We start from the raw sequence: 12,919 nt of genomic DNA on the forward strand, positions 1-12,919 counted from the left end.
ATATGGTTAAACTTGTCTCCTAGAAGATTCTTAATTTTCTGGATACAAAACTACCATCCTACTGTTGGTTATTACTGATATGGCTTTGTTTCCAAGGGAAATGGACTAATGATTTGGATGTTTTCTTCAAAGGCTGCACATTTTTTCTTGCATTTCTTCTGAAATAAATTTTTGCCTTAAACTTTTGTTTCTATTTCTTGTTTCTTATGAATCTGTAACATATAAGTGTATGTTGCAATAATCAAACTTAGGGAAGTACATCTAGTAGACTGACTAAACAAAAAACCTTGCCAAAAGTCCCTGTCACTTACAGAGGTTGGACTTGTCTGTTACTCATTAAATAAATATACTTGTGTGCAATAACATCATTGCTCTAGCCTGGAATTAGGCATATCTGCCTCTATTTGAATCTATACAAGGGGCATTTTGCCACTAGAAATTCCAGAAGATGCTTATTAGGAAAAAATAAAATTTTATTACATTTGAGTAAAAACTATTGCCAGACAGAGACCAGGCCTTTAGTAAAGAGCAAAATAAAATAAGAAATGAATTTATCCATGAAAATGGGAATATATAATCTAACCTTACGAAATGAGTTAGAAGAATAATGCATCACTGTTGAAAGCCTTCGTGTGTTTTAAAAATGAGAATGTCAATAATTTTAACGGTCTTTGTATGCAGCCAGAACAAATAGATTAAAAGTTATTTTGGTATCTGGATCTGCCAATATGTGATTTTAAGGATAATGTTCTAGGGCAGGGGCCAGTAAGCTTTTCTATAAGTGGCCTGGATAGTCATCTGTAGGCCATATGGCATCTGTTGAAATTACTCACTTCTGCCATTATTGTATGAAAGTAGCCATAGACGATATGTAAACATATGAATGTGGCTGTGTTCCAATAAAAATAAGACTTTATTTTTTTTTAAGTGGCAGGTCAAATTTGGCCTTTGGGCCATAGATTGATGGCTCTTGTTCAAGAGAATTTGTTCCCAAAGTGTGGCTCCTAAACCAGCAGCATCCATATTACCTAGGAATGTATTAGCAATGGATATTTCTGTGCCCTTCCCAAAACCTTCTGGATCAGAAACTCGAGGAGTGAGACCCAATGATCTGTGTTTTACCAGGTCCTTTGGCGCATTGTTGAGTTTGAGAACCTATTTTCTAGAGTAAAGACTAATTAAAATTACCTTCCTCTGAAATATTTCCTCCCCATAAACTTTAAGGTATGGTCCTTATGCATGGGCAGAAGATAAGTGAATATGGAAGATACATTAGCCCAGACTACACTCCATGAATAAAACTATTTGCTGGACTTAGAGAATTGAGTGTTATTGATCTTTTATCATAAGTGTGATACAGTTGGGAAAAGATTAATGTAAAGATATTACTAAGTTTAAGAAAGGTAAAATGAAATAGGAAGCATGACTTCTGTGATCACTTTTAGATATCATGTATCACCTGTAAAATTTATGTCAAAGGGCATAGATCTGTCTGACAAAATGTATTCAGCTTTTAAAAAAATCATAGAAACATGTTGTGGCTTGGTAAAAAAAAAAGTTGAAACTTAAAGGTATGTGAAAATGGTTTTGACTGATTAAGAGTTCTACAGGTTTCTAACCTAATAAAAACAATACAGAATTAACACCTCCATGATTATAGCCAGTCTAGTGTGTTTCTCTAAACATTCCTTAGGTAAGGGTATCAGTTTGCTCAGACTCTGAAATAGCCAGATCTTACTTGCAAATTCTCACAAGTCATACAATCCTATATTATACTGAAGTTCTATTACCTTTCCAAGAAACCCAAGCAATCTGCTATACTTTAGTCTAACAACTGGCTATGAAGACATCTCTAGGAAATTCAAGATGGAAGAGTGGCAAAGTGTTTCTAAATATTATTTTGTACTTTTAAAGTCAATAGGAGATTATTCGAATAGGAAAACAGTAACTCTAATTAAAAGACAAGCTATACTTTTCGAGGTTTTTAAAACTACAAACCAAAAGTGAGGTTTAGGATGCTGACCCGGATAAATCCATTTTCTGGAGGAACTGGCTGAGGACACCCGGAATCTGCTTCTATCTCAGGAAGATCGACCTCTTTCATTTCTTCGTCATCATTGATACATGGTTGTCCACTAAAAGGGAAACATAAATATGTGTGTATATGTATGTATGTACACACATTTACATGTGTGTATATGCTTATGTGTATACATGTGTACACATTGCATACATATATGTATTAAATAGAAAACATTACACACAGAAAAAGGCACGGCAGTAGACCCAGTGGCTCATTAATATTCTGTGTTGGCATAGGTAAAGTTCTAATTATTTCTTTACTTAGCAGTAGACTAATAACCATTTGAACTCTCAATGTTATTGAGAGTTAGGGCAAAATGACCCATTCTTTTCCCTTACCCGGCCTTACTTGTTTTCCATGATTGAAAATGTGCAGTCTTCCTCTTGTCGCTTCTCCCCCTCACAGCGTTTCCCTCCTCGTTGGGGGGCAGGATTATTGCATTCTCGGGTTCTCGATCTCTTATAAGTAGCATCACAGGTACTCCAGGAAGACCAACAACCCCACTGTCCGTCTACTGCATCTGGAACAAAGGAAGACTCACTCCCATGGATCATGGTGCAGCTGAATTTGGGTTTGGAAGTGAGGCCAACCTGGTTTCCTCACTTTTTAGCTCAGTAACTTCCTTTGTGGGATATGATAGGGTTCTTCTAAGGATTAAAAGAAATTACCTGTGCAAGGGGCCTGACACATTGCCTGATTTCCTTTTAGACTTTGTTCCCATAAGCCTAAATAAAATGGCAACAAATGGCAATCATTATGAATTATTTTCAACTGTTAAGAAACCTCTGTATTCTTGGCTTTGGAGGCCTTTTAAAAATGTGCACTCATATGTGTATAAATATAAACATCTTCTTAACAGAATGCATATTAAATTACACTTTTAAAGGAAGTAGTATACATTCTTACTCCCATGCCTTACCCTGTTTCTAAGGAGGATTTGAGGTAACTATGAACATACTTAGTCCTGTATGAAAACTTTGGTTGTGGCTTAATTTATTTTTTATTACAAAGCCATCCTTCTATATTACAATACATAAGAGGCTTATAATATCAGAATCATATATTTTATTTGATGTTATGTTTGATTTTTTATGTTATGAGCATTGTATATGTATTCTTGATATATAAATACGCATATAATATATTCATATTCCTTAGATAGATACTGGTGTTATCCTCATTTTATGGATGAACAGATTGAGGCATAGGGAAGCTGGGTAACTTTCCCAAGCTCACATAGTTGGTAGGTTACAGCTGAGACTCACACTTTTTGCAGGTTTATCTTCCCTCTGAGCCTGTACAAGGTGGAGGTTGCTAATAGAAGTTTTGTTTCTTTTTAATTGACCAACTTAGAATACTCTTTGGAGGGGAAAACTTATCTACCTCACAATAGATTCCTGATACTTACTGGATTTATAATCTGGAGACTGTTTCTCACAGTTCTCACCATAGGTGCCACTCTGACACACACACAGACATTCAGTCCCTGAGAGGGTGGGTCGGCCATTATTAGGGCATGGAGCACACTGGCAAGGATCGAACTTGGCTGCATACTCTTGCAAAGCTTTCCTGAGGTTGTTCCGTTTTGTCACTGCACAGGGGATGTTTCTTACCAAGTCCACGATGGGGGCAAGCTAGGAGAAAATGGGAGAGAGGAGGTCCAGTCACATCCCCTTTGGTAATAGGTTGCCATTACTGCCCAGTTCTCTGAAATGAGAGGGAAAGCCTGAAAATTTTACACTTCAAAGGGATTATTGCAGAATATAGTATTGCACCTGTTGAACCAGTAGGCAAAAGCCTTCTACCTGTGGACAGGTGTGATGTATATGGCACTTACCTTCCCTACAATTTTACTGTGAAGGAAGCATGGGAGGTGTTGCTTACTTGGTTATATATCATGTTATTTATTAAGTATTCTATGCATGCATCAAAGCACTGAGATAGGTGACCAAGAGTTAGGCAACTCTTTCCTGCTCTACTGAAACCTCATTAAATTTGATTCAAGCAGCAAAAAATTTAGAGAGGATAAGAGAAGCTTTCCATGTTCTTTTTTTCCAGGACAGTTTTGGCTTTTGTTGGAGTTAGATGAGAAAATGTGGAGTGGGAGAAAATGAAGAAATAAACTTGCCAGTAGGATGAATGGAAGAATTACAGTAACAAATAATAGGCTAATGATAAATCAGTGCTCATTTTATTAACATCATAAAACCTCAAAGAAATGACCTTCTAGTGCAATATGACTTGCAAGTACCCGGAGGGGCAGCTGGGTCTCATTTTTCTCCCATAACATGTAGAGCTCAACACATCTTCACGCTGCAGGCAAATGATTCTATTTTCATAATGATTGAAACCTTTTATCTTCATTTAAATGAAATGAACATAACAGCTTCTTTGGAGGCCTTTTAAAAATATGGATATGTTTGGGGGAAAACAGGTTCTAAATGGCATATGGCTGATACGTGGGTAAAGTATTCCATAAATAATAAATATCACCTTTTAATGTAATTACAACAAATACAAAACTGGTAAATTCAATCAATAGTAATAGAAATGGATCTAAAATCTCATTTATCTCACAGAGCTACAAATGAAGACTTAGGAGTGTTCATCAAATAAGGAGTTGCAAGAAGAACACAGAAACCAGATTTATTGTATACATGAAAAAATAAAAAGTACTACTCAAGGAAAGTTTGAGCATTTTTATTCACTAAGTTCCATTTCCTGGTGTTTCATGCATGCTAGGAATTCTAAATACTGTACTGTTGAATGCTTGTTTGAATAGCAAACGCATTAGACATGCAATTTAACATTTAAAAAAAGGTACATTGTGCATGAATACTAAAGAAAGGCATTTCTTTCATTGTCTGAGAAGAAAATGGAAAATAAATTGTGTGATGTGCAATTTGGGCTGCTAGAGAACTACTTTAGATCTCTTACCTGGAATAATTTTTACTCTTACCTCAAAGTCAATCACAGCAGGATTTTCCTTCACTGATTCTAACCACTCAGAAAATGTCTTCTCCTCCAGACCAGAGCTCCCTTTCTCCCATGCCAAAGCTGCTCCATATTCACTCCTTCCACCTCGAATCAGGGATATGGATTTCTCTGCTCCCTGTATAAATGAACCTGCAAGGTGTTTCAATAAAAATGCCCATTTAATTTTAGTGCAAATTCCTATTCTAAAACAAACAAACAAAAACCTATTTGTACAGAAGGGAGAAGTAGATGGTACAGTATGTAGCTCCATTAAGAAAGCTAAGTGAAAAAGCAAGAGAACACTCCTCCTCCCTGTAGGGAGTTTAATAATAGAAATAATAATAACAGTACTAACAGCTACCATTTATTAAGCATCTGGTAGATGCCAGGCACTTTACACACATCTTATATAATTCTCATGACAACCCTGAGAAGTAGGTATTATTATAAACATTGAAGCCGAAAGTAATTTGTCCTGGAACACATGGTTACTAAGAGACAGGACTAGGATGCAAATATAGCCCAGTCCTTGACTACTCTGCCCCTTACTCTTTAATGTCAACCGCCCTGCTTCTGATTTATGTTAGCATATGTTTTGGGTGCCCAGAATAAGATAAGTCACATGGCTTCTGATAGCCAGTCAATTGACTGTCATGGTGAAACTTCCAATTACAGGGAAAAAATGGTGGAATGATTTTATATTTAAAGACAGAGGTGAAAGCACAACTAACACAGAAAAAAACCCCCATCAGGTTAAGAGTTGGCACAATGTTTCTTTAGACACAATGACATTTACTGTTAAAGTATATAGCACAACTCTTTTATACAAATTGCCATAACAATTTCCACTAACCAAATGGTAACTCTAACTAACAGGGATAGAGACTGAGTAATAAGGAATTGCCATAAGAAATAGTAGCAAATAAAAAGAAGGCTAGTGATATGAGCGATAGTTAGTGGCATTAATTTGGTGTCTATCAGTAAGAATTAGCTATGATCCCACTATTTAGCAATTCTATAGTAAGATAGTCTAGAATGATTAGGAAATGGATGCAACTGTCTTCCTATGAAGAAAGTAGTATGGCTGCTTTTAGAGTCAAGTGCATAACACAACACAGGTATAAGGCGTAACAAAACAAAGGTATACAAGGAAAATTTTAGAGGTTTTTGTATTTATTTTTCATGGAAAAGTAGAAGCCAAATTAGAGTTTGCCAATATATCATGTACAGACTGACAGTGGCTTCGTCATGTTATTTCATATTTAGATTGATACCATGTATTTCATAAATGGATTGACACTGGTAAGGGTTATCTGTGAGGGGCATGGGATCCTGAAGAAAGAGTAAGTCTGTTTACTGTTCCATTAGCTTACTCTCACAAGTGAGCAAGTGCCTTAAAAAGATTCCAGAAAGAAAATGCAGATTGAAGATAATGCCAATAATGCAAACAAAAGAAAAAAAAAAACTAGTAAAAGACAGAATGAATATTTCTACTTATACAATCTTCTCAGAAGCCACATCGTAAGATGAACACCAAAGCTGACCAAAAGCATGTCAAAAATTTCAAGAAACTTTTGTAATATATGTATTTATCAATGAACTTTTTTTTTTTTTTTTTTTGAGATAGAGGTCTCGCTCTGCCGCCCAGGCTGGAATGCATTGGTGCGATCTTAGCTCACTGCAGCCTCTGCCTCCTGGGTTCAAGTGATTCTCCTGCCTCAGCCTCCCAAGTAGATGGGATTACAGGCATGCGTCACCAGGCCTAGCTAATTTTCATATTTTTAGTAGAGACAGGGTTTCACCACGTTGGCCAGGATGGTCTTGGTCTCCTAATCTTGTGATCTGCCTGCCTTGGCCTCCCAAAGTGCTGGGATTACAGGTGTGAGCCACTGCGCCCAGCCTGAACTTTGTTTTTAAGTGTGTGCAGCCACTACTATGAGGAAGATAAAAGTTCTGTTTGTTTCATATATGCTATTTAAAAAACAATTTCCATTTTTTACATTTGCATATTTTAATGCACATTTTTGAATAATACATTTCTACAATTCTTTAGTAAAAATGTATAAATTAGTGATATATCCTCAAAAAATTTTAAAAATGATATAATTACAGATTTGAGAAGTCTGAAGTCCAATGATTTAACTGAAATAGCTCAGGGTTAGAAATAGGCAAATCTATGTTCTTGTGTGTGTTTTGCTCTTCAATGTGTCTGTGACTTTGACTTTAGGCAAATTGTCATCAATAATTTGTTGAGAATCTTCTATATGTCAGGCCCAGATAAATATAAAATATCGTGTTAAGAACTCAGACTCTCAATGAGTATATGGAATAGGTATATAAATATGCTAGCAAGACTATGGAGAAATAAACAAGGATGGAAAAGAAGAAAGGAAGGAAGGTAGAAAGGGGGGAGGGAGGGAGAGAGGGAGGGAAAATGGAAGAAAAGAAAGGAAATTAAAAAGACCAATAAAATAGTTTTTGCTTAGTATTACTCAATGGTAAAAACAATGAACAATTACTGAGTTAGGAAAATGAAATAATTCTGTCATCTTTGGCAATTAAGGAGGATGGCGCTCTGAAGGAAGACTGACATGTTCCTGGAAGGAAAGGTGAGACCTATTAGGGAGATCATGGCCCTAATATTAGGGAGACAATGGCCTTCTAAGCATGGGCACACCATGGGCAAGGACCTGGAGTCAGGGCCGTTGTGCCATGCTCTGGAGACAGCACATATAGGCATGAGTTTGAGTTGAAATGGAAGGTCCAGGGAGGGGGAAGAACAGCAGAAATGAGAGAGTCTGGATGTAAAGCCAAGGAAATTAGACTTCATTCTTCAGGTTTAGAAACAATTGCATTCCCTAGAAACAATGAAAGGTTTTGAGGTGGGGATTTAAAATGATTCAGGAATATTAGCAGTATTGTGTCATCTGGGTAGCAATGGGTAATTGAAAAGCCAGCTTGGAGCCTATTGCAACGGTCTCTAACTTTGCAATGTCCTCTTGTTCCTACAGGCTGAAAACTGGGGTCCATATGTGATATTTTCTCATGTCAATTCCTCTACATTAACTCAGTTTCCTAAGTTGCCCTGATTCCAGTCTAGTATTTTCTTATATTTTAAGTAAATTTTTATACTGAAGTATAATATTGACACAGAAATGTACATAAATCATTAAGCATACAGCTCAATTAATTTGTAAAAAGTGAGCACACCCATATAATCACTGCCCACGCCTGGAAATAGAACTCTAGCAACACCGGAAAGCCTCCTTCATGCTTTTATCCAGTCATTATTCCATCCCCAAATGCAAACGCCAATTGTATTATTATTGCTATAGATTAGCTTTGCATATTTTTAACTTTATATGTAAGGTTTTAAAACATGTACTCTTTTGTGCCTGGTTTCTTTTGCTCAGTTTTATGTTTGTGGCATTCATCTATCTTGTTTGTAGTAGTAGTTAATTCATATCATAATTTGCTCATTTTACTCTTGATAGACATTTGAGTTGTATCCAATAAATGAACAATGTGGCTTTTCTTATTTTTGATCCATGTGTGTGCATATTTTTGTTGGCGCATATCTATTAGTAGAGTTTCTAAGTCATAAATATGTGTGCGTGCATTTATGTTTCACTTTAGTAGATATTGCCAAATAGTTTCCAAAATGGTATTACCAATTTATACTCCTACCAGCAATGTATGGCAGGTTGTGAAGTTCTACTGCCAATACTTGTTAATTTAAATTTTTTCATCATTTGCATGAGGTGGTATTTTATGGTTTTAATTTTATCCTTTTGATTCCCAGTTATCTTTATCATATTTTCATGTTTATTGCTTTTTAAAATATGTTCTTTTGTGAAGGGCTTATTCTATATTTTTGCTTATTTTACAATTTCAACTACAATTTTCCTATATTATATGTCTTTACTACATGTCACTTGTGCAACTACAAAATAATTATAGCAGACATGTATTGAATATTTAGTATAGCCTAGGCTTTGTCCTCATCAATTTATATGGATTGTTTATTTAATTCTCACAATAAGCATAAGTAAATACTATTATTATTTTTATTTTACTTACAAGAAGAAAGATTAAACTCTTGATGTTGATTACATAGCCAATCAACAGTGGAGCCAACACTTGAATATAATCTAGCCTGAAAATTTAGGCGATATGCAATGAACTTAATACATCACAGCATGAAATAATTTCTATAAATAACATTTTACTTTCCTACTTGGTAATTTTTACTGCTTTCCCACTGAATCAATCCAGTAAAGTGTTCTGCTCAATAGTAAGTCTGTGAATTTCTTGGCAAGGTATTTTAGGGGAAAACTGCATAGTATATCAGCTTCTTAAAAAACTACAATGTTCTTTATAATTTTAAAAGCTGAGAATTTCTCTTAAACACTGTTACACTCAAAGTTTTTCAATTTAAAGATGGAACTCCCTTTTCACATGCAGCACCTATTAACATTCTGTAGATGATATGTGGGATAGTGACAATATTTAATAGGATTAAGTCTAATTTTTTTAGTAAGGCATACAAGCCCTGTTTTGTATGGACTAAACCTACCTTGTCAGCTTTATTTCACAAATTTATGCTCAAGCTAAATAGAAATACTCATTTATTCATTTACACATTCATTCTTTTCCTCTCTATGCCTCTGTGTCCTCATCTATAAAATGGGGGTAATAATTGTACCAGTCTCATGGGGTTGTTGTGAGAATTAGAAGTTAACACACACAGAACACTTAGGACAGTGCCTGGAGCATAGCAAGAGTTCAATAAATGTTAATTACCCATTCATTTATTCTTTCAAGCATTCATGTGTTCAATGAGCACATCTATTAAACATTTATAATGTGCTAAACATGGTATGAAGTACTGAGGACATAAAGACCATGTCACTGTCCTGAATTTGCATACTGTGGAGGAAATAGAAAGTAAACATAATACAGTGTGATGAGTGCTATGATGTTGTGAATGCAGGTTGCAGTGAGTACGTCTAGGAGGGCACCTAACCTTAATTATGAACAACAATAGAGATGGTAATCAGGTAAGACTTCTTGGACTGTCTGCTAAAAATTTCAATTTTGAAATTTTTCAATTTTGAAATTACAATTTCAAGATTTTGTTACTTCAAAATAGCTATTACATCTTTAGCATATTTAACACTTAAGCAATGCAGAAAAGCACAATAATTATTCCCCTTGTTGTTTAGTCTTAGTTTTATACAGTAAATGAATCCAGTTCTCATTGCTTCATCTTTGCTCACTGTTTCTTTACTCCTGGGCTCTATATTTATCTGTTGGATTAATGTTTTAATATTAATTTTTTTATGTGTTTTTATATTTTCTTTATCTCTATTATTTCTCTCATAATTGAAGCTGAATCATGGGCTTTCTATATATACAGCCTCAGGCTGGAGAGAGTCAAGAGAGAAAAAGAGCAAAATTTTGTCTTTCGAGATCTCAAGTATACTTTTATAAATCTAGCAAAAATCATAGATTTGAAGGCTAGGGTTTTTAATGTCAAGGGCCAGGCTCTTGAGAGAGAAAAAGAATTCTTGAGTCCTTAATGCTTGAACTAAAATATCAAGAGCCACACATTTTAGGATTCAGAATCACAGAATTTACAACATCAACCACAGAATGATAAAAAATGTATACAACAGCCATTTTCCTTCTCAAAAGTAGGAAAGATTTTGAGCAGCTGGGAGAATGGGGGAATATTGGACATGTGGTAACTAAAATATAGACTTGATGGATTCCTTAGTGCAGGCCTAAGATTCCACCACTTTGGGGAAAATCTTGGAAATAATAGTTTGACAAGTAGAAGTTTGATAGAAGCTCATAAGAGGCTCTGCAATAAGTTAATGGAAAATGTGTATTATGAAAAAAATGCATAGCTTTCAAATTTTTTTGCACAAAAATAAACTCATACTAACTTATCATAACATAGCTGAATAGGATCAAGCTTGAGGCACAAAGAGGGATAAGACATCAGTTTGAAAAGAGTCCCTATCAGAGCAACTTGAAATTTGCTAAAATAGAAGTAAGACCAAACATCAAATTTATGGTGAAGCTTGGGAGGAAGAATGGTGAAATCACTGATGCCTTAGGAAAAGTTTATGGGGACAATACTTCAAGGCAATCAGCAGTTTACAGATTCATAACTCATTGTAGGAAGGGAAGAAATAATGTTGAAGAGAAAACTCCTAGCAGTAGACCATCTACATGAATTTGTGAGGAAAAAATTTACCTTATTCCTGCCCTAATTGAAGAAGACTGATGATTAACAGTGGGAACAAGAGCCAACACTGTAGAAATCTTAATTAGTTCAGTTTACACAATCATAACTGAAAAATTAAAGATGAGCAAACTTTCCACTCAATAGCTGCCAAAACTACTGTGTCCAGATCAGCTGCAGACAAGAGCAGAGCTTTCAATAAAAATTTTAAACATGTAGGATCAGATCCTGAAGCACTTTTAAAAAAGAAATGTACACAGGAGATGAAAAATGGATTTACTAGTATGGTCCTGAAGACAAAGCACTATCAAAGTAATGGCTACCAAGAGGTGGAAGTGGGCCAGCCAAAGCAAAAATGGCCTAGTCAAGAGCAAAGGTCTTGGAAATGGTTTTGTGGGATGCTCGAGGCATTTTGCTTGTTGATTTGCTGGAGGGTCAAAGAATAATAACATATTATGAGAGTGTTTTGAGACAGCCAAACTTTTAGCAGAAAAATGCCCAGGAAAGCTTTACCAGGGACACCTTCTCTACTGTGACGATGCTCCTACTCATTCCTCTAATCAAACAAGGGCAATTTTTTAGATGAGAAATTATTAGATATTCACCTTACAGTCTTTCTTTGACTCCTTCTGACTTCTTTTGTTTTCTAATCTTAAAAATGTCTTTAAAGGGCACCCTTTTTTTCAGTTATTAATGTGAAGAAGATTGCATTGACACAGTTAAAGTCCTAGGACCCTCAGTTCCTTACGGATGGACTAAATGGCTGGCATCATTGCTAACAAATGTGTCAACTTGATGAAACTTATGTTGATAAATAAAGTTTATATTTTCTATTTTTATCTTTTACTTCCAGTTCCCTGTGAACTTTTTGAAGTCCTCTCATGTACATTTAATCTTCTCAAGTAGTAGGAAGGGAATGGCAAGCCTTGTAGAGAATCTTTTGTATCCAACATGGCACCCAAGCAAGTAGTTCCTTAGTAGTCTCAAGGCCCTCACATTTCACTGTGATGTACAGAAAACAGGCAAGGGTTCCCTAAAGCCTGAAGAAGGTGAGAAAGTCTTGAGAAAGAGTGGTAGACAAAAGATGGCCTGGCCTTTTTGTGAGGAAGATTCAAAGGATATGGATCTAGTAACCAAAAGCCAAGGCAGGACCATCAACATTGGCAATAGGTGCCAGTGCATGATTGTGAGAACCAGAGGAGGCAAATGACCTATCAGATGAGGCTAGCCAAGGCAAAGAGAAACATGCTAACAAAGGTCTCATTCTCCCTGTGACTCTAGGATACTATCTGGCCACCCTTCCCCAACACATATGCATATGCATATGCATGTGCATGTGTACATACACACATACGCACACACACACAGGCACACACACACACGCACTCTTAAATTATCCCTGACAAGCAGCAAAGGAGAAAGGTGAGGGAATCCTGAGTTTGACTGAAAATTGAAAACTGAAACCCAGAACGGCTGGGTTACATTACACTGGCAATTTTATACTTTTTACCACTTAGAAGAAATAGGAATTTGAGAGTATATCAGTTCATTCTTTCATTGCAATAAAGAACTACCTGAGACTGGGTAATTTATAAAGAAAAGAGGTT

General features: G+C 35.8%; 1 protein-coding gene and 1 long non-coding RNA gene across 15 annotated transcripts in view; one reads left to right on the forward strand and one right to left on the reverse strand.

Annotated features, from left to right (window-relative positions):
• The window catches only part of LOC105374739 (uncharacterized), a 90,060-nt gene extending 85,294 nt beyond the window's left edge, over positions 1–4,766 (forward strand). For both annotated transcript variants that reach the window (XR_001742650.2, XR_001742651.2), the window contains one exon: positions 4,663–4,766. This is a non-coding gene — a long non-coding RNA (uncharacterized LOC105374739). The remainder of the gene's footprint in view (positions 1–4,662) is intronic.
• Positions 1–12,919, reverse strand: part of C6 (complement C6) — a 119,354-nt gene that overhangs the window by 14,535 nt on the left and 91,900 nt on the right. For 10 of the 13 annotated variants that reach the window (XM_047417689.1, XM_006714496.5, XM_011514114.4 and 7 more), the window contains 5 exons: positions 5,043–5,209; positions 3,492–3,717; positions 2,752–2,808; positions 2,432–2,603; positions 2,024–2,135 (listed from right to left, as the gene is read on the reverse strand). In XM_047417689.1, coding sequence (XP_047273645.1) covers positions 2,024–2,135; positions 2,432–2,603; positions 2,752–2,808; positions 3,492–3,717; positions 5,043–5,209 — 734 coding nt within the window. The remainder of the gene's footprint in view (positions 1–2,023; positions 2,136–2,431; positions 2,604–2,751; positions 2,809–3,491; positions 3,718–5,042; positions 5,210–12,919) is intronic. The other 3 variants (NM_001115131.4, XM_011514119.4, NM_000065.5) reach the window with 1 other exon arrangement.

This window comes from Homo sapiens, chromosome 5, assembly GCF_000001405.40.
Source record: "Homo sapiens chromosome 5, GRCh38.p14 Primary Assembly".
NCBI lineage: Eukaryota > Metazoa > Chordata > Mammalia > Primates > Hominidae > Homo > Homo sapiens.